The sequence below is a fragment of the Homo sapiens genome, chromosome 18, assembly GCF_000001405.40.
Source record: "Homo sapiens chromosome 18, GRCh38.p14 Primary Assembly".
Lineage (NCBI taxonomy): Eukaryota > Metazoa > Chordata > Mammalia > Primates > Hominidae > Homo > Homo sapiens.
The window spans coordinates 617,657-645,111 of record NC_000018.10 but is presented as its reverse complement, the minus strand read 5'-3'; the positions used below and the strand labels follow the sequence as shown (position 1 = coordinate 645,111).

Sequence of the window (27,455 nt, the reverse complement as noted above, 5' to 3'; positions counted from 1 at the left end):
GGCACTCTGCTTACCAGGTTTTAAAATGTTCCTTAAAATGCTGTAGAGCTTTTGCCACTACGTAGCCAATGAAGTTAGAACTCTCAGCACTTTCTTCAAGAGGGATCTTGAGTGTGAAATTAGAGGAAGGCAGAATGCTTAAGTCTGTCATCATTGTTTCATCTTGTTTGGAAATATTTCCTTCATGAATCCTTGGAACTACCTACAGAAGAAGGATTATACAGTAGAAGTTTACTAAATCCCAATACACATTCAATAGTAATTTAATACCACCTTAGTCAGGATAGGCTGGGTTGTGCTGAGGTAACAGATTAGTCCTGGCATTCCTAGGGCTTCATGCAACAAAGATTTATTTCTTGTTCATGTTATGTGTCCATTACAAGGGCTCCACACCAGTAAACACTGAGAAGCCTGGTAGGCAAAGGCACATTATCTCATAGCTGTAGCACATGATTTCAGGACTTTCTTTGTGCCCTCAGCAGAAAAAGAGAATAGATGAGCACACATAGGCTCTTCACTGTCTCAATCTACAAAGAACCCTTTTCAGTTTTGCTCACGCTTCACTGGCCAGAACTTGCCACATGGCAACGTTTAACCACAAGGGGAGCTGGAAAATATGAGAGAGGAGGTGGGATGTTTGCTGAGTATTACTGTCTGTGCCACAAACTTTATTGCATTGCACCAAGTTTTGTACTGAGTTTTCCTAGAAATTTACAATTTATGGTTGTAGGTGTGATTTTGGCAAGAATCAATGCAAAATTTATGTTACTCTTAATGAATAACATGTATGTTACTCTCTTAATGAATTCTCAAATGCACAGACTTTGATTTGAATCATTTAAATGGAACTGAACTGATACGCAACTTGATGTAACCTTAAGAGAATGATTTAAAAATTTTTCCCTTCTCTTTCTGTGAGTATAACATACATAAAAACTGCATAAAGTATTTATGTTTGGTTTAAATAATTGTAAAGTCAACACCCATGTAACTATTATACAACCAGGGACCACAACCGTTTTCACTTGCTGGAATTTGTATATTTCTTTCATAAGGCTTCTCTTCAGCACTTGCTATTTTATGGGTTTGTACTTTTCTTTACATGGTGAAATAGGAGCTGTTTTGAGAAAAGTAACTTCACAGGCAGTTTAGCAAAGTGGTTACGTTCACTGATTCTAGAGAAATACTGCTTGAGTTTGAATTCTAGTTCTACCATTTACTAGCTGTGTGAGCTCAGACAAGTTGCTTAACCTCCTCTGTGCCTCATTTGAAAAACTGGGGAAAGAATTCTACTTCCTTTATAGGGTCATTGAGGGTATTAAATGATCTGATATATGGAAAAAGTTCTTAGAACATTGCCTGACACCCAGTAAATGCTCTTAAGTGGTAATAATTGTTATAAAAATGTATAATTGAAAACCATAATTTTATTTTATGTGGAGGTTTTTATATAGAAGTGCCTTTGTTATCAGCATAAAGAATTTTAGATAAATCTGTTATGTTACTCAAGAGACACTAGAATGGAAGTAAATCAAAGCACAGAATAGAAAATACTGACAATGGTAAAAACAACTAAATATTGACTGTAGATTTCTAAAGGTTGAAAGCACTGCTAAAATTTTTCTTCAAGTTTTATTCTTCAATACAAGACTTTTTCCTCGTTAAACTAAAAGTCTATATATGCGAGGATGATCAAATATATTGAATTATTTTACCTTCCTCAAGTGTAATCTAATAGAGTTATAGAATCAGAGAGCTGGCAGGGATTGGAACAGTGGCTTTCAAAACCCTTTGACTGTGGTCTGCAGTAATGAATACACTTGACATCATGATTCAAAACACACACGTATGTCTACATATGTGTATATATGTTTACACACATATACACATACAAAATGGAAATGAAATTCCATGATGTGCATATGACTTATGAAATGCAATGCATGCTAATATTTTCTACTTTGTCCTATTCTATTTTTTGTATGGTTTTTAATTTTGTTTTTTAATGAGCTTGCTGTGACTTTCTAAACTTATTTCTCAAATCAGGCATGATCCACAGCTTTGTAGTTTGAAAAAAGAGGGAAATGCTGGATTATAGAATGCCATAAGTCTAATTTCCTAGAAGCAGTGCCTGAGATTCTGACAGAAGTGGTTTATAAAGAATGCTCTCAGGTGCAACTTTTAAGGGGATGAGGAAAGCAAACTAGAGAAGTGAAAGAAGCTAAGCAAGGATATGGCTTCAGATGACTGTTAGCCTCAGCCTGATCCTGCAGGAAGCTCTGGGGCATAAGTGCTCCAAGGGCAATCTTTGGGAGAAAGTTTCAGAGATAAGCAGTTAGCAGCAGCACCAGCACCAGTGGGAGCTGGTAAAAGGGATCCCCAGGGATCTGGATAGGGCACCAACATAACCTAACATACTACACACAGAATATTGCATCTTCAATTGCTCTGCCCAGTAATTTTTGTATCCAAGTCTTTTTGGGAACCCCTCAAAACCAGCCTCATCAGGAATCACTAGCCTGGCGCATTTGTAGATTAAGGTAATGTGTGTGTGTTGGAGGGGGGATGTCTTAGGAAGAAAAGTCACTTGCATGTTATGCAAAAAGTTATTGACTGAATCTGGGAGTCATGGTATAGGTGGAATTTAAGATGGCAATATGTTTTTATTTTTGTTTTTTTTGAGACAGAGTCTCCTTCTGTCGCCCAGGCTGGAGTGCAGTGGCACGATCTCAGCTCACTGCAACCTCTGCCTTCCGGGTTCAAGTGATTCTCCTGCCTCAGCCTCCTGAGTAGCTGGGATTACAAGTGTGTGCCATCACACTTGGCTAATTTTTTATGTTTTTGGTAGAGACGGGGTTTCGCCACATTAGCCAGGCTGGTCTCAAACTCCTGACCTCAAGTGATCCACCCACCTCAGCCTCCCAAAGTGCTGGGATTACAGGCATAAGCCACTGCGCCCAGCTGGCAATGTATTTTTATGTGACGAGTAACATATAAATGTTTAATTCTCAAGATAACTCAGTGGCTTTATTGTGTCAGCAACTAATAAGAGCTATAATTTACAGAGCTCTTGTTTTGTATAAGAAATCTATACTAATCACTTTATAGGTGTACACGTTAAGATAGCTATGATTGTTACCATTTTACAGGTGGAACACTGAGGCCTAGAATGGTTGAGGTACTTTCCCAAGCTTACTCAGCTGGTAAGTTTCAGAGTCAAATTTTGAACTCAAATTGCTTTATTTGTAAGTCTTCTCTCCTAAAACCTACATTGGCCATATTTCTTCAAGGTTACCTCTATCAGTTATAGCCCTATAACTCTAAGCAGAAATAGCCATTTCTAGATTAGAAAGTATTTTGTGTTTTAAATTGATTTTCTTTATGGACTTTCTTGTTTTCTAAAGACCATGAACTACGTTAAATCAAGTCAGCCTGAAGGCAATCACAATGGAAATATGAATACCTCCTACAGCTTGTTTTCAAATTCAGACACAATTCATAAGTAAATTAACAGTGAAATCAAGGTATGCACGTGTCATTTCCGTATCTGCTCTTGGGTCTCTCCTTTACCTGTATTGAATTAAAGATGATCTCTGTTTCTGGGGCCTGGTTTGCCAGTTCAGACACCCAGCCAAATTGCCCTCTCATCTTCTCCACCAGATAGGCGGTGTCCTCCAAGTGCTTCCGGGTCATCTGGAGAATCTGGCCATACTGCTGATTGGATACATTGACCAACCTGATCGCCTCGTCTAATTCTGTGTGCAGAGCAGGTACATCAGGACAGTCTAGCAGAGAAGAAAGTAATGTGGAGAAGGAAAAAGTCCATGAAACTTGGAGGTGGGCAACATGGGCTTAAGTCCCAGCCCTTACATTCTCTATTTTCCCCTTTTGCCTGTGGTAGTTTTTAGTTATGCCTGTTGTTCTGGAGTAATTATTAATATCGTCTACATCTGTGTCAAACCAGATCCAGTTTAACTGTTAATTATATGGTTTTATGTAACAGAAACTGGGCTGGAGACAGAACTTTTGTTATAAATTCCACATGCCTACCACCTATATTAAGAAAAAATTTGCCAAAACAGATGAAGTCCCTACTATGCCCCTTCTACATCACATCCCATTTATCCCTTAAAAAGGACACTACTATTTGATTTTGGATGTATATGTCCAGTACCAGTAATTAGTATGGGAAAAGAGGAAAAGAACCACATATAGTGAAGCCGCTTTAAATTAAGACCAAAAGTGTATAGTAAATAGTGAAAAAAAAAAGATTTGTGATGTTTTGGAAAATATTTTATATTTATCAGTAATGAAATTATAATTATAGTTGTGTGCTTAGTATTAGAACAAAGTAAATCAAAGCTGATTGAAGAGACAAAATTATTATTTGATTAAAGGTATGAGATTTGTTTATAATAGCAAAACCTTGAAAGCAAATGTACTTCAGCTAGGGAATGAATAAATTGTGATATGCCTACATAGACCAACATACAACAGTGAATTAATGAACTAGAGCAGCATGCATTCACATGGCTAACCCTTGCAAACTACACTGAGTGAAAAGCCATATTGCAAAAGAATACATAAGTGATAATATTTATATTGTTAAAAAAGAAAAATTATCCAGAACTTGGAAATAAGGCAAAAAAAAAATGGCTGCATTTCCTTTTGTTTCTTTTTCTTTTTTCTTTTCTTTTTTTTCAAGACAGGTTCTCGCTCTGTTACCCAGGCTGGAGTGCAATGGCATGATCATAGCTCACTACAGCCTCGAACTCCTGGGCTCAAGTGGTATTTCCACCTTAGCCTCCTGAGTAGCTAGGACTACAGGCTCACACCACCATGCCCGGCTAATTTTTAATTTTTTTGTAGAGGCGGGTCTCACTATGCTGCCCAGGCTTGCGTGTCCTCTCAATGTCATACTAAATTATTGTCTAAGGGGTCCACCCAAAGATCACTTCAAGGTCTAGGGAAGAGATCCTTTGTTGGCTTTACTATTTACTGTTGATTAGGGCCAGACTCCATGAAATTACCCATAGATTATGGATTGAAAAGTGGCAAATGTTTGTCTAGTAGAGATGTAAATTATTTTGGTCTGATAGAAAAGATAATGGCAAGATTTACAGTTTAGTTGCCCTTTCGAATATTAACTAACATATCTAATTTCATAACCTTTCAGCATTCTGTCTCTGCTTGACTGTAAGCACTCCAGTCTCTCTTATACTTCTTTGACCCAGCTCTAACACCCTGCTGGTTCCTTCATTAATAAGTTACATAGTCAAATTAACATTTGACATGTGCCCATTTCTTTTTTCTTTTTCTTTTCTTTGTTTTTTTTGTTTGTTTGTTTGAGACAGAGTATCACTCTGTTACCCAGGCAGGAGTGCAGTGACACAATCTTGGCTCACTGCAACCTCTGCTTCCTGGGATCAAGTGATACTTGTGCCTCAGCCTCCCGAGTAGCTGGGACTACAGGCGCATGCCACCATGCCTGGCTAATTTTTGTAGTTTTAGTAGAGACGGGGTTTCACCATGCTGACCAGGCTGGTCTCGAACTCCTGGCCTTAAGTGATTGCCCGCCTTGGCCTCCCAAAGTGCTGGGATTACAGGCATGAGCCACCGCACCCAGCCAGACATGTGCCCGTTTCATGTTTGTATGAAGCTTTTTTTTTTTTTTTTTTTTTGAGATGGAGTCTCGCTCTGTCACCCAGGCTGGAGTGCAATGGTGCGATCTCGGCTCACTGCAACCTCTGCCTCCTGGGTTCAAACAATTCTCCTGCCTCAGCCTCCTGAGTAGCTGGGATTACAGGCACGCGCCACCATGACCAGCTAATATTTTTTTTTGTATTTTTAATAGAGATGGGGTTTCACCATGTTGGTCAGGCTGGTCTCGAACTCCTGACCTCGTGATCCGCCTGCCTTGGCCTCCCAAAATGCTGGGATTACAGGCATGAGCCACCACACCCGGCTGTATGAAGCATGTTTTTAAGTTTAAAAATTCTACATTGACAATGCAAAAATCGAAATGTAAAACATTGCTATGTATGATATCGGCATTTGTATATATTATATGTATATAGGCACATGATATGAGTAGGAAGAAATGCAAGGAAATAATTAATACTAAATTCAAAATAGCACTTTCCTTTTGAGGAGATAAAGTGAATGTGATGTGGATGGGAACACAGTGGGGCTTTATCTGTTTTGGTAATGTTCTATTTCTCAATCTAGGTGACTGAGAATTTTTTTTTTTTCCTGAGACAAAGTCTCGCTCTGTCACCTAGGCTGGAGTGCAGTTGCTTGATCTTGACCCACTGCAACCTCCGGCTTCTGGTTTCAAGCGATTCTCCTGCCTCAGCCTCCGGAGTAGCTGAGACTACAGGTGCGTACCACCACACCTGGCTAATTTTTATATTTTTAGTAGAGACGGGGTTTCACCATGTTGGCCAGGCTGGTCTCAAACTCCTAACCTCAAGTGATTCACCTGCCTCAGCCTCCCAAAGACCTGGAATTACAGGGATGAGCCACCATGGCTGGCCTATTACATCATTCTTTATATATTTATAATAAAAAGCAATTTATAATAACAGTTTTAAGCAGCATGGGAGCACATTAGGACATTCTTTACATTTTACCTTTGCAACACTAAACTTTCATTGAATTTGTACTGTATTATCTGATGTATACTGTGTCCATTATCTGGTGCATATTGATTATCAGGTGCATTTTAATGTATTATCTGATTTATTCTGTATTATCTTGTGACATTCAAGGATTATTAATAAACTATTTTAGCTGGGTAGAAAGAAATAGATGTTAATGATACATAGATGGGATGCTTGAGCAGGACTATTTTTGTAAGAGGTCAGTATATTAAGTGTCTATTTTTCTGTTATAAAAACCTATGCTTCTGTATATAACCTTGCAACTGTGACTTAAAAAACAAATATTTGAATAATGAGAATCATTGATATTTCAGACATTTTATTTAAACTTCTAAAGATGTGTACGAAGCAGATATATTATTTCCTCTTCCAAATGATAAAACAGGCTGAGAGAGTCCTCGAGTCAGCAGTTCAGGAGAGAGAGCACTCCTTTTTTATTTTTTTAAATTTTATTTATCTGTTTATTATTATTATTATTTTTTCAAGACAGAGTCTCGCTCTGAGGCCCAGGCTGGAGGCTTGATCTCAGCTCACTGCAACCTCTGCCTCCCAGGTTCAAGCAATTCTCTTGCCTCAGCCTCCTGAGTAGCTGGGATTACAGGTTCATACCACCATATCTGGCTAATTTTTGTATTTTTAGTAGAACGGGGTTTCGCCATGTTGGCCAGGCTGGTCTCAAACTCCTGACCGCAGGTGATCCGCCCGCCTCGGCCTTCCAGAGTGCTGGGATTACAGCCATGAGCAACTGCACCTGGCCAGGAGAAAGAGCACTCTCAACTGCTCTAGGTAACCCCGCGAAAAGGTCCAGTTTGTAATCAGAGCTACCTGGAGCAACGCTTTCCAAACGCTTTTCTGCCCAACAAGACATTCTAGATGTCAAAATTGTCTAATATACATTCTAAGGTGGGGTAGAGGTGTCCATGGCAGAAAATTTGCACAAGAGGGATGTGGAGAAGTAAACAAGTCCATTTGTATAATGGACTCTGCTTTCAAAAGAAGGGGGAGAAAAGACCAACTACTGAGGTCGGGAGAGGCTGACAGAGAATGAAGTGGAAGAGAGAGAGAAAGAACAATCCTTGTTCTTGTTCTGTGGCCCGTGTAACCTGACTTCCTCACTAGCCCAACTAACTTGAGAATTCAGTGTCAATAAGAACCCAGGCTGGAGGCCAGGGATGGTGGCTCAAGCCTGTAATCCCAGGACTTTGGGAGGCCGAGGCAGGTGGATCACAAGGTCAGGAGATCGAGACCATCCTGGCTAACACGGTGAAACCCCGTCTCTACTAAAAATACAAAAATTTAGCCGGGCATGGTGGCGGGCGCCTGTAGTCCCAGCTACTCAGGAGGCTGAGGCAGGAGAATGGCATGAACCCAGAAGGCGGAGGTTGCACTGAGCCAAGATTGTGCCACTGCCCTCCAGCCTGGGCGACGGAGCAAGACTCCGTCTCAAAAAAAACAAAAACAAAAACAAAACAAAACAAAAAAAACAAAGAACCCAGGCTGGTGATATTTAAAAAGGAGAAAGGGGCTGGGCATGGTGGCTCACGCCTGTAATCCCAGCACTTTGGGAGGCAGAGGCAGGCAAATCACTTGAGGTCAGGAGTTCGCCACCAGCCTAACCAACATGGTGAAACCCCATCTCTACTAAAAATACAACAAAGTAGCTGGGCATGGTGGCGGTTGCCTGTAATCCCAGCTACTCGAGAGGCTGAGGCAGGAGAATCACTTGAACCTGGGAAGTGGAGGTTGCAGTGAGCCGAGATCGTGCCATTGCACTCCAGCCTCGGCGACAGAGCGAGACTCTGGCACAAAAAAAAAAAAAAAAAAAGAGAGAAAGGGAGTGTTGTCGACTCTAAACAGGTTTACTAACCACTCGAATAATGATCTAATTTAATAGACTCTATTAAACTCATTTTTTTATTTAATTGAATAAAAAAATTAGAAAGGGAAACTTACTCCTTTCGAGTTGCAAAGCATATAGATGTTTAGAACCTCTGCAATGCATTAATTTGCACAATGGAAAGACATTTCATAATGGAGAATATTAATATGTAATTTACAGGCTCCTTGAGCAAGGTGATTAAATAAAAGTAATATGTTAAAAAGTCAAATTTTAAAGACGTCTAATAATTTTTAATATCATATATGCATACATGTACATATGGTCCCCAATTTACAATGGTTCAACTTATGATTTTTCAAACTTATGATGGGTTGTGACATAATCCTATCCTAAGTCAAGGAATATCTTATGTTTATGGTTAAGAGTTTGGAAAATACAGAAAGAAGTATTTTTAAAAATCATCTTTAATCTTAAAACCCAAAGGTAACCTTTATTAGTATTGTGGTGTATCTAATGATACTTTAAAAGCCAATATGTTTAGGATATTATGTTGTTTAACATTGTAACAATTTGTTGGCCAGGCGCGATGGCTCACACCTGTAATCCCAGCGCTTTGGGAGGCTGAGGTGGGAGGATCACGAGGTCAGGAGTTCGAGACCAGCCTGGCCAATATGGTGAAACCCCATCTCTACTAAAAATACAAAAATCAGCCAGGTATGGTGGCGCGTGCCTGTAATCCCAGCTACTCAGGAGGCTGAGGCAGCAGAATCGCTTGAACTCAGGAGGTAGAGGTTTCAGTGAGCGAAGATCGCGCCACTGCACTCCAGCCTGGGCGACAGAAACGGTTGTAACAATTCCATCCTCCCTTTTCTCTGAACGGCGCGATTTGTTGCAACTTGCTCACTGTTAGATTGAGGAGAGAAAGCCAAGGGAGGGGCAGGAGTTTCCACTGACCATGCTTTTTGTTCTTTGCGTTGATATAAATTACTCCAGTGGTCTTCACTGTGGGAAGTTAAGGGCAAAAGAGCTATTACTTGGTAGTAAATTATAATCTGAATTTTATAAATTCTGATTTATAAAAATCAGAATTATAATCTGATTTTTCTGAACTTCCTTTATAGCAGGGGTCCCCAACCCCTGGGCCACGGACCCATATCAGCCTGTAGCCTCTTAGGAACGGAGCTGTACAGCAGGAGGTGAGCGGCAGGTGAGCAAGCATGACTGCCTGAGCCCCGCCTGCTGTCAGATCAGCGGAGGCATTCCATTCTCACGGGAGCACAAACCCTATTGTGAACTGTGCATGCAAAGGGTCTAGGTTGAGCGCTCCTTAGGAGAATAATGCCTGATGATCATCCCCAAACGTGCCCCCTGCCCCACCATCTTTGGAAAAATTGTCTTCCAGGAATCTAGTCCCTGGTGCCAGAAGGCTGGGGACCACTGTTTTACAGAAGAATTTTGTTAGAACCCAAAGATTATCTTGGGTCCTTTATTTACAAATTACTCAACTGAGGCCTAGACAGCATAAATGACTTGCCCCAAATCTCTAGCTAGTGTTGTAGAATTTACTGACATGTTGATTTCTGTCCCTTCTGTATCTTCCAATTTCCTACTGTAAGCCATTAGTCACACTTTGAAAATTTCCTTCCCTTAGGGCTTTAGTGAGATAAAATGCAGAAGCATAGGAATCAAAAGCTCTTGTTTTATGTAAGAAAAGTTGTAATTTGGCCCTGGTGGGGTTGGAGGAGTGACTTTAGTCTGGAGAAGGGAAAGGGAATGAGGGGAGGGATGGAGGAAAGGGAGAATGATTTCCTTCCTGGGGAAGGAACTAGAAAGGGAGGGAAAAGGATTCCTGGGGCTTGGGAGGAGAAGCCACTTTCCCTATTTAAATGCTAATTAGTTCATTAACCCACCAATGGGAAAGAGCCAATGCCACTTTCAAAAAAATATTTCACTTGTCTAAACACTGATTTACAGAATGAAAGGTTTCTTTCATGGTTGGGGGCAGGGGTTCTTTTTGCTTGCGGTAAGAAGGAAGGAGTTGCGCTAATTTGCTCAAGGTTTTTCTTTTGCACACAATAGTGTTTGGTCATTAATCATAAAAAAAATCACAAGAACAATTAGGGAATTAAAGAAAGTGAAAGAATGACATACTTTGGAATAATAAAAGTTTATAAACCAGGCCAGGCACGGTGGTTCATGCCTGTAATCCCAGCACTTTGGGAGGCCGAGGTGGGCGGATCACAAGGTCAGGAGTTCGAGACCAGCCTGGCCAATATGGTGAAACCCTCGTCCCTACTAAAAATACAAAAAAAATTAGCCGGGCGTGGTGGCACATGCCTGTAATCCCAGCTACTTGGCAGGCTGAGGCAGGAGAATTGCTTGAACCCGAGAGGTGGAGGTTGCAGTGAGCCGAGATTGTGCCACTCCAGCCTGGGCAACAGAGCAAGACTCTGTCTCATAAAACAAACAAACAAAACACCAGTTTATAAACCTACATTGAACGCCCCCAGATGGAAATGAGCCTGCAAAAAAGTGCTTGGAGGAAAGCAAATGAATCCACTATGCTTGTGAGAATGAGATTTTGTCCTCTGTCCAGAATACTAAAGAAACCCTAAAAAATTGTTAGATGTGAGTTCTAAATTTCTTTCCAAAGAATCAGTATGTCAGTATGTTCAATTCTTTGCCTTCTACTTTTAAACTTAATTTCCTCGTAAAGCAACCTTTTTCGATTACACGCTCCACCCTGATTCATTCCGATTACACGCTCCGCCCTGATTCATTCCGATTACACGCTCCGCCCTGATTCATTCCGATTACATGCTCTGTCATAACCATTTTTCCCTCCAGACCACTCACCTCGTCACTCTCTTTAAATTAGCCAATGGGAATTAGTCTAGCCTGTGCGGTCTAACCCTAGCCAATAGGGGAACCACACAGCAGCAGGGGCCACGTGCGTTGTCAGGGTTAAGAACCCCTTCCCCTCCCTTGGCAAGTGCACGCTCACCATTGCTCCATCTGTAAGGGCGCACCCTTCTATAGAAGTAACTTTCCTTGCTGAGAATTAAAAAGAAAATTTTATATTCGAGTGCTATTTCTTTTGTGGCACCGAAACTTTATAACAAAATGTACCTGAGAACTTAAAGTAGAATAAAAAACAAAATAGCAATTATTTACCTTCAGATAGGTGAGCCTGACATTTTTGGCATTTTTCATGAAATTTGAAACATCTTGACAAATTCTGGTCAAGTTCCCCACACAGTCCTCTGTCCTGCCCAGGTAACATCTTTGAAATCAGGCCTCCGTGGTCAGGAGCTACAGGGAACATAACATTTACACGTTAGTGTCATAAGAGTTTGCACTTTGAAGAAGTGGAGACAATGCCGCAGCTTTTTCTTACCAGTGCTTTCAAAATCTTTTTCCTATATGTATGTATGTATTTAATTTATTTATTTTTGAGACAGAGTCTTGCTTGTTGCCCAGGCTAAAGTGCAGTGGCGGGATCTTGGCTCACTGCAACCTCTGCCTCCCGGGTTCAAGTGATTCTCCTGCCTCAGGCTCCCAAGTAGCTGGGATTACAGGTGAGAGCCACCAAGCCCAGCTAATCTTTGTACTTTTAGTAGAGATGGGGTTGCGCCATGTTGTCCAGGCCGGTTTCTTGAACTCCTGACCTCAAATGATCCACCCGCCTCGGCCTCCCAAAGTGCTGGGATTACAGGCATGAGCCACCGCCCCTGGCCCTTTTTCCTATATTTAGACACAGAAATGCACGTTGGTGCAATAATTTCCTGGGACAACTGAACAGCTATTAAAAATTGCACACTCTTGAATCCAAGAATCTCATTACTAGAAATTTATTAGTAGTATATACACACATATATTAATGCATGTAATTTTATTTTCTAGGAGGAGTCATGAAGAATTATTAATAACTATCTTTTAGAAGAGGGAGTTGATAAGGTAGGAGAGGGCAGCTTTCATTTATTTTGTTCTTTTATATATTTGATTACTTTAAAAATCATTTGTCTTATATCATTAGTATTTCTGATGTCAATAGGATTAAGTAAATAGGTGATTGTGAACCACTTTTTCTCTTGGACTTTTCTGTATTTTAAAAAACTCTTTAATAATTAATTTTTAAAGCTATAATTGGGAAGAAGTTTCAAAGATATTAGAAATGTCTGTTTCTTAAAGTGGGTGATAGGTGGTTATTTTATTACTATTCTTTTTTTGCATTTCTCATATATATGTATATATACACACACACACACACACACATATATATACACACATATGTGTGCGAGTATGTGTGTGTGGAGATGCATATACTGTTATGAACAGGGGGTCAAAGATTTAGGAAAATATCTAAAGCCAATCAAGTTTTGAGAAGTTTTTTCCCCTAGGAGAATTAACAATCCATATAAAAATGTGTAAAAGAGAAGTCTATCCAACAGAAAATTGGCGGTTCCCAATAGAGTGTTTGACATTAGGAAACATGTATTACTAATTTACAACCTGATGATTTTCTGTCATATTAAATCCTCAGCATTTAAAAATGAAACGTTTTATTTTGAGATAAATTGCAAAGTCCATAGTTTAAAAACAGTGAAGCACTGTTCGATAGAATGGCATGTAAGGCACCCATCCCCTTTGGTGACCAGAAAGTCAGTTTCTCCCAGCTGCTTTCCTGGACCCTCTTCTTTGCCCTGTATAGCCCCCTGTGAGAATTTCCAGTGTAGAATTAATTCCTGCTTTATGTAGTGTTTGCTTTCTTATCTTTTCCATTAGACTGTAAGCCTCTTGAGGGAAGGGACTTGGTCTTGCCATTTTAATCTTGTCATTCTTCCATACCTTCTTCTGCCATTTTACCCACAATATGGTGATGTAATTGTTCACTAATCTGTTTTCCTTTCTCTGGACTGAGCTCCTGGAAGTCAGAGGCTGTGTCATAATCATCATTTTATCTCTAGCATCTAGATTAATACCTGGTATGTACACCAAGGATGACAAATTCTAGGCCCATATGACACTAATTCCCCATCCTGCAGCCACAGCACAATCCATCACCTCGCTTAGTCTAGCCTTGACAGAACCTCAGAACCCTTCCAGGGAGCTACTTCCAGTGCAGTCACTGAGCTAAATCATCTACTCTCCCACCTGCCTGTCTGTTTCTCCCACGCGAAAATTAATGTTAACTAACACTCTCTAAGGCAGCATTAGAACCAGGTCTCCCGGCCCCCGCACGGGTCAAGCTACAGTAGAACTCAATCTCATCTGTTCCTTCCAGGGATTCATAAGGCAAATGAAGATAATTCCAAGAGCTACTTTCCTGGACCTATTCGCTTTCAACAGATTCAGGAACTGAGGTCCAGAAAGACCAAGGTAGGAAAGAAATATGAGAACAAAATGAACCTATACTCAACAAAAATAGCATTAATTATCAAGATATTTCTGATTCTTTTTATTTCCGCTCTCCTTTTCCTGGTGTTCATAATTCAGTGTTAGCTATTTTTCTAATTTTGGCCCTTTAAACAATCATGACCAATAAGGCCCATCCATGAAGGTTGCCACACGGAACTTGCTCAGTAAATGTTGGTCAGTTACTATTATTATTAGCTCTGCTACAGCTACCACAGATTCAGTGGCTTGAAACAGCACAAATTCATTATTGTTTGGTCTTTTAGGTCAGAAGTCTGAAGTGGGTCTCCCTAGGCTAAAATCAAGATGTCATCTGTCTCAAAAAAAAAAAAATGCAAAAATTAGCTGGGCGTGGTGGCACGTGCCTGTAGTCCCAGCTACTCAGGTGGCTGAGGCAGGAGAATCGCTTGAACCTAGGAGGCGGAGGTTGTACTGAGCCAAGATCGCACCACTGCACTCCAGCCTGAAGACAGAGCGAGACTCTGTCTCAAAAAAAAAAAAAAAAAAAAAAAAAAAAAAAAAGATGTCAGTAGGGCTAGTTTTTTGCGGAGGCTCTAGAGGAGAATTCATTTCTATACCATTTCCAGTTCCTCGAGGCCACCTACATTACTCGGCTCCTGGCCCCTTCCTCTGTCTTCAAGGTCGTCAAAGTCGAGCCAAGTCCTTCTCTTGTGGCTGCTACTATTAATTCTTTTCTGCCTCCTTCTTCCACTTTTAAGGACCCTGTGATTACATTGAATCCATCTGGATAATCCAGCATACTCTCTCTATTTTAAAATCAGTTGAGGCCGGGCATGATGGCTCATGCCTGTAATCCCAGCACTTTGGGAGGCCGAGGTGGGCGGATCATTTGAGGTCAGAAGTTCGAGACCAGCCTGGACAACATGGCGAAACCCTGCCTCTACTCAAAATACAAAAATTAGCCAGGTATGGTGGTGAGTGCCTGTAATCCCAGCTACTCGGGAGGCTGAGGCAGGAGAATCACTTAAACCCCGGAGGTGGAGGTTGCAGTGAGCCAAGATCATTCCACTGCACTCCAGCCTGGGTGACAGAGCAAGGCTCTGTCTCAAAAAATAAATAAATAAAAATAAAGTCAGTTGATTAACAAATTGATTTCCATCTGCATCCTTACTTTCCCTTTGCCACATAACATAAATTCACAGGTTCTGGGGATTAGGGTGGGGATATTTTGGGCAGTCATTATTTTGCCTACCACAAGGGGCAAAACTCAAAGTGTCAAGTCATTAGGCAGATTTTCTAGGGGCAGTAGGCTTATTCCTCACCAACTACCTGTCCAGAAAAGTGATGGAAACCACATTCAAGTGCTGTAGAGCGCCTGCCTGACTATTCTTGATAAACAGTCCACATTTGCTCATCTGGGAAGACAGTGTCTCCTCTGCGGTAGCTTCTGTGTACTGTCTGGCTAGGGGAGGGATACTGGAGAAAGAAGAGTACAATAGTGTAACACAGACTTTTTTGGTTGCTATTTTGTTTTTGTCTTTACTATTTGCATTCACAGGGGACCTTGGCTTTCCAGGTCATCACTGAGATGGAAGTGGCGCAGAGGGGCTGGGGAGGGTGCGTGTGAGGCAGCTGAGAGTAGGGCTGGCCCCCAGCTGTGTGAATGAGAAGGCAATGGTGGCAGACAGTGGAAACCTATGTTCGTAGCTGGTGTGTGGGAGGGGGTTACAGTGGTTGAAAAATTATCTAGATTGTGGCATGTCTGAATCACTACTGACAGTCCTGTGCACATGGGAATGTAACCAATGCTTGTGTAAGGCTGCTACACAACATGGAGGGGAGGAGCCCTTTTGTTCTAATGAACATATTCTCAGTGTTATTCCAAGACAGTTGATATCCATGTAAACAGTCAGGCTAAAATCACTTAATACCACCCAGCCTGGATAGATTTAGTCTACTCGCCTGGTGTTTATCCTGAATATTTGATGAATTTGGAACCTCAGAATGGACTACCAGACCAAATAATTGACTTATAAAAAAAGTCCACTGGACTCTGAAATAGAACCCAACAATTCCAGTAATGATGGCTGTTCTCTGTTCATGGAACGATGGCACCTGAAGGATGTAATGCACTGTTTCCTAGCTTCAGTTTCTGAAAGGTAAACCTCTCCTATGTAGAGGCCAGTTATGTAATGTCATGGCGATTTTGAGAATCTGATTCAGATGTTGCCAGCTACAGCTAATATAATTGAAAAATAGTCAGATAGGGTCAGGAGTGGTGGCTGGCTGGGTGTGGTGGCTGGCTGGGTGTGGTGGCTCATGCTTGTAATTCCAGCACTTTGGGAAGCCAAGGTGAGCAGATCACTTGAGGTCAGGAGTTCGAGACCAGCCTGGCCAACATGGTGAAACCCCTGTCTCTACTAAAAATACAAAAATTAGCCAGGCGTGGTGGCGGGCACCTGTAATCCCCACTACTCGGGAAGCTGAGGCAGGAGAATTGATTGAACCCAGGAGGCAGAGGTTGCAGTGAGCCGAGATCACACCAATACAGCCTGGACAACAGAGCAACACTCCATCTCAAAAAAAAAAAAAAAGAAAAAAGAAAAAGAAAAATAGATAGAAGGAGCCCATTTTATTTTTCATCTCAGAGGGGAGCAGCCTTCAACCTGGCTTAGGGGTCAATACAGTGACAAAGGAAATGCAGATCCTACACTTGACCCTCGTGGCAATTCTCATTCTCGAATGCGGTATCTAACTTACTCCATAGAAGCCCACAGAAGATATCTGCCGCCTTAAAACATAAAGCAGCATTGTGTCTCCAACATGGATGCCATGAGGCATGATTAGTGTTGGTAGAAGGCAATTCTTATCTAATATTTCTGTAGTTTGGGGTTTATGAGCATTTTTTGTGGTTTTATGCATACATTTTATGATTTAAGGAATGATTGTAGTGATTCAGAGGAGGGCACTAAATTGCTCTGGTTATATGTGAGAGTGGGCTTCTCAAACTGGGAGTTGAGGATTCCAGATCAATTTTAAAGAAGCTCTCTGATGCTTTAGCAGAATAGAGCTGAGCATCTACATGAGCTTTAATAAATGAGGGAAATGGCCATGCATGGTGGCTCACGCCTGCAATCCCAGCACTTTGGGAGGCCAAGGCGGGTGGATCACCTGAGGTCGGGAGTTTGAGACCAGCTTGGCCAAGATACTGACACCCCCGTCTCTACTAAAAATACAAAAAAATTAGCTGGGCGTGGTGGTGCACAACTGTAGTCCCAGCTACTTGGGAGGCTGAGGCAGGAGAATTGCTTGAACCTGGGAGGCAGAGGTTGCAGTGAGCCAAGATCACACCACTGTACTCCAGGCTGGGTGGCAGAGTGAGACTCCGTCACAAAATAAAATAAATAAAGAAATAATAAATGAGGGAACTGGTTTTTTTTTTTCAAGTTCTCAACCTATTAGCATTTTTTCTTTCTGCTTTGAAAATTTGCTCTAGAAAGAGTTCAGTTCTCAACGATGATGGAAGAGGGATGGTGTTTAGCAGACTTCAAAGCTTCTTTTAAGAGGCTCTGAAACATTTTCCATAAATTGTCTCTTCAAGAAATGCTATACAATGTGACTCAGAAATGTCTACCATTTCTGAAGCTAAACAAAACTTGACTTTAGTGTAAACCTCTAAGTAAAAGTAATCTTTTAATACTTGCCTTTGTCTTGTTTTGGTAAATCTTCTATTGCCTTCAGCATCTTAGTAATTGTTTCACTGACACTTTCATAAATAGAGACACTGAAATTACAAAACAGCTGGAAGAAGTTGGGAATGTCCCAACATTGCTCAAGATCTGCTTTTGTCATCGGCTCTTTAGAGAAAGCTGGAAAAAAGTAAGGCTCAGTTAGGTCTGTATCTGATATGAAATGTGATTGAAAAGTCTGGTCAAACTCTTGCTGCATCTGTCTGAAGACGTTAAAACTCCTGTTAAAGAGAGAATTCACATCCACAGTCAACTGGCTGAACACATCCTCCATTTGGGTCAATTGTGCATCTTCCTCAATGAGCTTTTCACTGATGGGGAGATCTTTTTCATTATCTTCATGGAAAGGAAATAGAAATTGATATATCTTCCTGAAAAACCGTTCAATCTGTGGAGTAGAGTAGGGGACAGAAATGGAATAAAAAATTATTTTCTTTCTCGACTCTTTCTTTCTTTTCTTTCTTTCTTTCTTTCTTTCCTTCCTTCCTTCCTTCCTTCCTTCCTTCCTTCCTTCCTTCCTTCCTTCCTTCCTTCCTTCCTTCTTTCCTTCTTTCCTTCTTTCTTTCTTTCTTTCTTTCTTTCTTTCTTTCTTTCTTTCTTTCTTTCTTTCTTTCTTTCTTATTTGAGATGGAGTCTTGCTCTGTCACTCAGGCTGGAGTGCAATGGCACCATCTCGGCTCACTGCAACCTCCGCCTCCTGGGTTCAAGTGATTCTTCTGTCTCAGCCTTCCGAGTAGCTGGGATTACAGTTGCACACCGCCATGCCTGGCTAATTTTTTTTGTATTTTAGTACAGACAGGGTTTTACCGTGTTGCCCAGGCTGGTCTCGAACTCCTGAGCTCAGGTAATCCACATGCCTTGGCCTCCCAAAGTGCTAGGATAACAGGGGTGAGCCACTGCACCCGGCCCTGGACCATTTCTTATTGCAAATTTTAAAGTCAACTTACAGTAGTCATTTCAAATCAAGAATAATTCTGGGCAAGCTAGTATGAGGCAATTAACTTTAAGATAATTTCTTAACCCTCTTATACCTGACTTTGCCTTTGCCTATGGAAACAGGATCTGAAATTTCTCCTGGTTTACATTGCCCACCAATAGCCTAAAAAGGTCAAGTTTTCACTTTGGGAGGCCAAGGTGTGTGGATCACCTGAGGTCACCAGCCTGGCCAACATGGTAAAACCCTGTCTCTACTAAAAATACAAAAATTAGCTAGGCGTGGTGGTGGGCGCCTGTAATCCCAGCTACTCAGGAGGCTGAGGCAGGAGAATCACTTGAACCCAGGAGGTGGAGGCTGCAGTAAGCCAAGATGGCACCACTGCCCTCTAGCCAGGGCAAAAGAGCCAGACCCTGTCTCATGAAAAAAAATAAAGAAAAGAATTTGGGTGGATTGTCTGCCTCTCCCTCTACCAGCTTCTGTTTACTTGACTCTTCATCCACAAAAACAAACCTTTAAAGCCCCAAGAAATGTTCATAAGATCACACAACTGACCCAGATGGGAATGGTCCCCATATCTCCTGACTTCCTGCTGGTGCTGATTACACCATATTCTGGTGTATTAGCAGGCGACAGTAGCTCTAAAAATAGAGCAGATGCAATTAATAGTGGAGGCAAATTAACTTGGCGCATTCATTATCTTAGTAGTTGCTCCCTTTGTAATTGAGTACGGCATTGCCAAGCCAGGAGCATACCCTAATTAGTATGTGCTCTAATATGGAGCGTGAAATTCCACTCAATTTTGTATTCAGCTCACTTCTTGAAGGGGGAGAAAAATCTAGCTTAATTGGAGCCGTTAGTGGGGCAGAGCTCATCCTATTCAGGTCACCACCCTCTGTGATCCCTCTGCTCAGAAGATAACCAAAGGGTACAAAAAAGAAAACATGCCAGTCCTACATACATGGGTAGGGCAAAAGGGGACATGAAGGGGTGTGTGTGTGTGTGTGTGTGTGTGTGTGTGTGTGTGTGTGTTATGCATAAGGAGGCAAGCATGTTGAAGGTAAGATTTGGGAGGCAGAGAGTATCTTTAAATATTTGGCCTCCAGAAGGAAAAATTAATGTGGATTGAAATCAGAGACTGCAATGCTATGATTCCAAATGCAATTTGGTAAACATTTACTGGATGCCACCAATGCATAAGTGAAGACAAATAAGATATGATCCCTGCCCTCAAAGAGCTTACTATCTAGTGGGAACATGTTCACAAATAACAAATACAAGGCAGAAAGCCAGGATATTTTAAGAGATGCATTCAGTGACCACTGAATGGGTGCTCTACCTTATAAATTGCGTATACACAGGTGATGGTATGTAAACATTAGTATTAGATTCTAGAAAGCAAAAGGCCCCTATCAGATCAGGCATCTCCGTTCTAAATATTAACATAAATTAATAAAAAAGTAAGCTGAAATAGGTGCCTCAAGAACTGTGAAATCTTGAGCTCTCTTTTTCTCTTACCTTATTTTTCACAGAGGACCAGCTAGGTTGGCAGGTTGTATAAATTCTCATGCAGTTATTTTCCAGGCAAGACCTGCATTCACCCCAGGAATCTGCCAAAGACTCCCGGCATAGCCTTTCTTCTTCCTCCAGATGTTCTTGAACTTCATTCAGAAGTTTCAGGGCCTCCTAGTTAAAAGTAGAAACAAAAGTCCAATTTCCATTTCATAATCTATGTGCACCTTAGTTGATTTCACCCTTTGAAATGTATACATTCTAAACTGCTTTTTCATTCTTTCTCCTTCAGGTGCCTCGCAGCTGTCAGATCTCCCCCAAAGCTTTCTGTTTAGTTTAAGAAAAGAGCACTGATTGATTCCTATTGAAGACTGTAAATCTTATTCATCTGTTCATTCATTTGTTCAATAAGTATTTACTGAGTGTTTGCTATGTGACAGACATTACTCTAGGTGTGGGTGACCTGACAATGAAGATGCCATCCCGATCTGGGAACAACTGTGATTTACCTATTTACCGGTAAGTCTGTCTTCAATTCTCATCCACTGGTGCATGGGGAAAGTGGGCTTTACAGTTTATAAAGCTGGTACATTTTAATTCTTTCATTTATGCTGTCTTTAATTGTTGTATATCCTTAAACATTGCAAGAAAGTACAATTCTTGTATGTCAAGTTAAATGTTCCCGTTGAGTTACATTGTAATTGCCGAGACGCAGGATGGCATCTCTGCAATTAGAATGTAATATAATAAATATATTTATATATAATGTAATATTAAATAAATATAAATGGGAATATAAACAAGCTTTGTTCTTCTTGTTTATATTCCCAGTGCTCCCCCTTGTGGTGCTTGCTGTACTTGGCCAAGTCCTGCTCTGGGTGGTGAGGAGCCCAGCAGCAGTGGCACCTGTCCCTGCGAGCCTCAGCCCTGCCCCTGGAGTGCCTCACGGGTCAGCACCATGGTGCAACAGACCTTTCTTCCTGTGCCCCTGCCCAAACCTCTGGCTTCCCTGCAAGTGTGGACTTCTGAACCCCAGCCCCCTCCATGCCGAGATATCGTGCAGGGGAATGAAGTGAGTATAGTGGATCTGGCCATAAGAAGACAGCCTCAGAGCTAATGGAAATGACCCTTTCCTGGAGTATTAAGCCCAAAGAATCACCTGGGCACTGACAATCTTCCACATCTTCTCTGCCTGGCTAGGATTTGTCAGTTGTCCTCATTGTAAAGTTTGGCTGCTAAGCCACGTAGCATTTGGTATGATCCACGTAAGAAAACTGCCAGGGCCCCAGCTTGCCAATATACATTTTGACCCAGACAGGAGTGTGTGTGTGTCCTTGGACTTTGTAGAACAATTTTGGAATCTTACATCTTTTTTTTTTTTTTTTTTTTTTTTTGAGACAGAGTCTGGCTGTGTCGCCCAGGCTGGAGTGCAGTGGTGCAATCTCAGCTCACTGCAACCTCCATCTCCCAGGTTTAAGAGATTCTCCTGCCTCAGCCTCCCCAGTAGCTGGGAGTACAGGTGCGTGCCACCATGCCGGGCTAATTTTTGTATGTTTAGTAGAGACGGAGTTTCACCATTTTGCCCAGGCTGATCTCGAACTCCTGGCCTCAAGTGATCTGCCCAGGTTGACCTCCCAAAGTGCTGGGATTGCAGGCATGAGCCACCTCACCTGGCTGAATCTTACATCTTAAAGTGGTTGTTTTTCGGCAGGGTGCAGTGGCTCACACCTGTAATTCCAGCATTTTGGGAGGCTGAGGCGGGTGGATCACCTGATGTCAGGAGTTTGAGAACAGCCTGGCCAACATAGTAAAACCCTGTCTCTGCTAGAAATACAAAAATTAGCTGGTCATGATGGTGGGTGCCTGTAATCCCAGCCACTTCAGAGGCTGAAGCAGGAGAATCGCTTGAACCCAGGAGGCGGAGGTTGCAGTGAGCCAAGATCGTGCCATTGTCCTTTAGCCTGGGCAACAAGAGTAAGACTCTGTCTCAAAAAAAAAAAAAAAGTTGTTTCTCCAAGGCAAGTAACAATACCTCCAGGATTTTCTCAATCAGTCCCAATTTTACATATTCTGCTCATTGTCCTCATAAGCCAAAATCCTAATATTCCCAATTCCAAACTACAGTGGCTGTGTACCCTTGGGCAAATTACTTAATACATATAAGCCTTAGTCTCCTCATTTGCAAATAAGAATAATAGGAATAACAGTATCTACTTCTCAAGGTCTTTGCATTAAATGAGCTAAACAAGCAAGGCATCTATTATTATACCTAGTATCCATTATCATAGGCAAGACATCTGTTATTATAACTAGTCCAGTATAATAACTAGTATCTCTCAGGCTTCCTTCCATTCACTGCCCAGAAGCAGGACAAAAAACAGTTACCAAATCACAGGTCCCAAGTTTTGGAAGTGAAACATTGCCATGGAAGAAGTAGACCTCTGTCTAGTAAACATTCCTAAGGAATATCCTATCGACGCCTTCCGTTTCCTGCTAGACATTGTACCAACTGGCAGATTCACGCTTATAACTCTATTCCTATAGATGACAGTTTATCAAAAGCGCTATATTAACCTGGCATTGAGCCAGGCATGGTGGCTAGTGCCTGTGATCCCAGCTACTCGGGAAGTGAGGCAGGAGGATCCCTTGAGCCCAGGAGTTCAAGACCAGCCTGAGCAACATAGCAAGACCCCATTTCATTAAAAACACATACAAATAAAACCTGATTTGGAGGTCAAGTCACTCTAACCTTCTCTAGGGTTTCCTACTTAATAAGTTTCAGATAGTCTCACTAAATATTAATAAGGAGGGGTGGAGGAAGGGGACAGTGAGGATGCTGGGTCACCACTGAGCAGTACTCTTGAGAATGGGTGGGGCTCAATACTGGGAGACTAGGGTTGCTAACACCATATTTGCCAATTCATAATTTGTCTAAACTGACCTTTATTCTAGGCTTTAAGTAATTTTAGGGAGGGATACTCAGGGTTAAACAGATTTTTTTTTTCCGATTAACTTTCTAATTGAGTGCCTCAAACTTAAGAGTATAATTCAATGAATTTTTGTACAATAAGATTTTTAAGAATAAACAAAAATTCTACTAGTTGCTTGGATTCTTCAGGGCCAGAAGTGAAATCCACATTTGCTTACTTGACCCACCCAAAGTGGAATATTCTTGTTAAAGCTGTATACCCTGTCCTCCTTGCCAGGAGGTTCAGGGAAGTGAGAAAAGCGGAAAATCACTGGGTCCCCCGTGCACACATCTGCTGACTTTATCTCAGTTCATTCATTACAGTGTTGGAGTAACATGTTAATTAACAAACATCTCAAACCCCAGTTTTCTTAGCTATAAAATGAAAGTAGTGGTTTACCCAGATGTTCAAAACATTCCATGTGATAATGTGTTTTGTGAAGAGTGTATGAGTGCTATCTAGTGTCTCTATTCCCAGATGGCCAGGCTCACAAGCCCACCAGGGAAGATCCCAGCTGGAGGGGCTTCCACATTTTCCTGATGAGGAGCTATTTTAGATTTCCTCAAAATCTTTTGATTGCTGCCAAAAGGGAGAAGGGTTTGCAGCTGCTGGTCAGGCATTCTCCTTTCCTTGCCAGAACCCTGACTGACTCAGGGCAGTAGGTGAGGCTGCAACATCAACCAGTCCGGTGACGCTGACACACAGCTTTGGGGTCAGCCTGTCACACTACCCGGCTCCAGTTGCTTAACGGACTCCCAGAGGCCATGATCCTCAGAAGTAAAAAGATGTAAGCAGCAATCTGGAATTCAGTGGCCCCCAACTTTATAGATAGAGGGATAGATAGAAAATATTAGAACTTCCACTTGTATTTTTAAATTAAAAATCTGACTGGGGTGGGGGGAATGGGGCATTGTTTAATATGTATAGACTTTCAGTTTTTGCAAGATGAAAATAATTCTGGAGATTGGTTGCACAACAGTATGAATGTATTTAACACTACTGAACGTTACACTTAAAAATGGTTATGATGGTAAATTTTGTTATATGTATTTTACAACTTAACATTTTTCAAAAAATAAAAATAAATTTAAAAAGTAATTTACTCTCAACATTAAAATTGAAAATATTTTCCAAATTATTTTTGTTACAGTTTTAATTTCCTCTTTGATTTAAGGGTAATGTTTGAAGATAACCTTTTTTAAAAAAGTCATTGTTTTGAGTGTGATGTTAATTATTAATGTCATTAAACTGCAAGCTATTCAATGTCTATAATTTAGAAATTTACTGAACTTTATACTGTGGCATATGAACAATTTTTTACATCTTCCAAAGACATTTGAATATAATATGTATTCTCCATTGATAAAATATGTAATTCAAGCTATAGCTGTTAAATAAAGCTATTTGAATTTGAAAAAGTGATTAGGCTGATGCATTATTGGATATACATGGTACTCTCTTGAGATGCATATGTCAGATACTGTGTGTGCCCAACTGTATGTGATGACCTTGGGGAAAAGGGGATCCTCTACATTCCAGAAGAATCAACTATAGTTCCCTTGCTCTGTTCACATGCACCCAATTGTAATGAGTTGCCATGTAAGAGAACTCAGGTAGACTGATGGATTTTATTATCTAGTTTTAACTAAAGTAACCTTCACTAAATGGACAGGAGGCTTAACAAGATTCTTGAAAAAAAAAAAAACTTGGCAGATTTTAAAAATGAATAATTTAAGCTCAAGCGGACCAAAAGCAAATGGCAGAGCTGACACTTGATCATTATGAGCTCTTTATTGGCCAAGTGACAAGGGAAAACTATGGTGATCTAATCAGATCTGGCAAGTCGGCTAAAAGTTTCAAAATATCTAGAAGATTATTTGAAATGTGGACTTATATCCACACTCGCTAATGATGAATCTCACCTTAAATACATATTGTGCCTTGAGATATCAATGGTAGCAATTCATGTATCTAATTCATAAGTAAATGAATATGCATATATTTAGGAGTGAGTGGTAACAAATTTTTTAGTCATAGGAATGAGAGACCAAAAATCTCTGGGCCAGGCACGGTGGTCCATGCCTGTAATTCCAGCACTTTGGGAGGCTGAGGCAGGTGGATCACTTGAGCCCCAGAGTTCGGGACCAGCCTGGCCAGCATGGTGAAACCCCGTCTCTTCTAAAAATACAAAAATTAGCCAGGCGTGGTGGTAGGAGCCTGTAATCCCAGCTACTAGGGAGGCTGAGACAGGAGAATCACCTGAACCCAGGAGGTGGAGGTTGCAATGAGCGGGATCAACTCCAGCCTGGGTGACAGAGCGAGACTCTGTCTCAAAAACAGAAACAAACAAAAAACAAAAAACAAAAACTCTGGAGACCACTGATCTAGTAAAAAAAAAAACTCTTCAAATACTTTTGACTCAATATCCTAACTCAGAAGAGACCAAGAATAATCTATTTTTGAGAAAGCAGCACTTAAACAGAGATGAATCCCCCAGATTCCGGGTTGGAGTCTTGCAGAAGCCTATCCTACACGAAATATGTTCTTCAAGGAAATCTGAAGCTTCCCTTAAACTTTTCCTCAAATAAAAGCAGCTACCCATGAAATTTATTACTAAGGAAAATAAGTAATTCATCAATCGCACTAACAAGTGCAGTATTTCTGGTCCAGATCTGTGTAAGAACAGACATTATTTTCAATGACTGTACCTGCTTTTCTTCTCTGCATTTCTTCAGGGTGCTCATTAGATTGGTGTGTTCCTTCTCTTTTCTTTCCATCATGATTTTCATTTGCTTAATACCAGTCAAAGCCTTCTTCACCTCTTCATCTGCATCTATCTCCCCCACCTCAGAAAAACCTAAAAGACATGTGGCAATTTTTTCTTTGAGATCTGATCAGATTACAAAACACCAAGTTCACCAACCTTTCATGTCTCCAAAAGAGAGGCTTAATTGTTCTCTTATAGGCTCATATTCTGAAAGCAGATCATAATGAATTAGCTGTCAGCTGCCACATGGACCCAGCTGCCACACGGACCATACCTTCTACTCCTCACTTGTGAGCGCCTAAACAAATAGAGTTCACTGAACCTCATTCTTGTCATCTTGCTCAGGCCCTGTTTTCATTTATCCATTTTTTTTCTTTCATTTAAGACTCAAGTGTGTTTATATTAGAGAAAATTTTGCATTTTCTTCATAATTTATATTAAGTGCCCAGCTGGGGACCTCAAACACAGTCAGCAATTTCTCTTTCTTTCAGCTTCAGTTACCTAATAAGGAGGCACGAGACCTAGAAAGTATCCCATGTAATACGAGCTTCCTTAATAACTCAATGGACGTGTCTTATACACCTTTAATAAGCCCTTAGTAAGTTTAAAATTCATTGTCATTCCCTGTTCAAAATAGCCAACGTGGCCTACTGAGGAGCTCATTCTTGACTCTGATTATTACAGACCCCAAATCAGCTGCATTTTAGCTAATTTGTTCTTCTATATATTAAGTACCCAAAGTATATATCACCAAGCAAAGTTGCAAGTTAATGGCCACAGAACAACCAGATTCAACGTAATTATAACCCATTCTTTCACTAGTTTAAGAACAATTGCACAGATTACTCTAATGGTTTAAATTTTTCAAATGCTAGAAAAGTATTTCACTGTTCATTAGAGCTGTGCTGAGATGACACCAACCATCTGGATGATACAAAAAAATGCAGTGAAAAAACTGGCAAGTTGTATCTACATGATACAAACATCTGGAAAGGTGAACGCCTGCAGAGACGTGATTGGAATTTTCTATTTTTACCCAGATGTTTGGCGTCAGGATGACCTGGTTTAAGCGCCTTGAGAACGTTTCACCGTGAAAACAGCGAATATGGTTATCTCTCAACTGCGACTCACTATAAACGCCAGCAGGACAACCAACATGCAAACAGGACACAGCACAGATAAGAAACCAAACGTACTCTTCAGGTTTTCACTGATAGCAGTTTTGTCCTTCCAAGTGGGTGCGCAGTGACTGTCTTTCAACCACAGCAGACACACAATAAACACCAAGAGTGGCGGCTTCATGTTCCCGCTGTTACTGCAAAGGAAAAATAAACCCGCATCAAATGTCTTCCATTTGGTTAGTTTCTGTTGGCATCAATTGAAAACACCTGGGGCTCCAAAGCATTTTTCTGTCAATTTTTCCTTATGACTTTAGACAACTTATGCTAATGTGCCTGAGACATAAGGAAGCTTGAAATGTAAGTTAAAAAAACAAACAAATTCTAGTCCCTATTTGGTTTAAACTCTTCACGACAGTTAAAAAAGCCCGCCATGTGAAGTACTTGAAACTCAATGCAATGGAGAGGATAGATCACATCCTCTCAGAGTCCAAGCTTCATTTTGTAAACATCTCGAAACACAGAATT

General features: G+C 41.0%; 1 protein-coding gene and 1 long non-coding RNA gene across 15 annotated transcripts in view, besides 1 other annotated feature; one reads left to right on the top strand and one right to left on the bottom strand.

The window, feature by feature from the left end:
* CLUL1 (clusterin like 1) overlaps positions 1–27,455 on the bottom strand; it is a 53,195-nt gene that overhangs the window by 5,071 nt on the left and 20,669 nt on the right. For all 12 annotated transcript variants that reach the window (NM_001393346.1, NM_001393345.1, NM_001393347.1 and 9 more), the window contains 7 exons: positions 27,006–27,124; positions 25,751–25,899; positions 20,080–20,247; positions 17,583–18,015; positions 11,677–11,814; positions 3,571–3,785; positions 15–202 (listed from right to left, as the gene is read on the bottom strand). In NM_001393346.1, the coding sequence (NP_001380275.1) occupies positions 15–202; positions 3,571–3,785; positions 11,677–11,814; positions 17,583–18,015; positions 20,080–20,247; positions 25,751–25,899; positions 27,006–27,111 (1,397 nt within the window). In that variant the 5' untranslated portion in view covers positions 27,112–27,124. The remainder of the gene's footprint in view (positions 1–14; positions 203–3,570; positions 3,786–11,676; positions 11,815–17,582; positions 18,016–20,079; positions 20,248–25,750; positions 25,900–27,005; positions 27,125–27,455) is intronic.
* On the top strand, positions 198–24,460 carry LOC105371952 (uncharacterized). 3 transcript variants are annotated; one of them, XR_935082.4, is made up of 7 exons: positions 198–3,203; positions 3,405–3,837; positions 9,624–9,709; positions 12,406–12,459; positions 13,787–13,881; positions 20,366–20,592; positions 20,905–24,460. It is a non-coding gene; the product is annotated as an uncharacterized LOC105371952 (long non-coding RNA). The 3 variants fall into 3 exon arrangements; XR_007066265.1 differs by lacking the exon at positions 9,624–9,709 and having other exon boundaries at positions 2,594–3,837; positions 20,905–21,388; XR_007066266.1 differs by lacking the exons at positions 198–3,203; positions 20,366–20,592; positions 20,905–24,460 and adding an exon at positions 14,637–15,026 and having other exon boundaries at positions 3,757–3,837.
* Positions 2,758–3,957: an enhancer, noted in NCBI's record as "MED14-independent group 3 enhancer chr18:641155-642354 (GRCh37/hg19 assembly coordinates)". NCBI's record gives its function as "activates an origin of replication core promoter dependent on BRD2, BRD4, P300/CBP and CDK7 cofactors, and independent of MED14, by STARR-seq in HCT116 cells {active_cell/tissue: HCT116}" and the evidence as "EXISTENCE:reporter gene assay evidence [ECO:0000049][PMID:35650434]".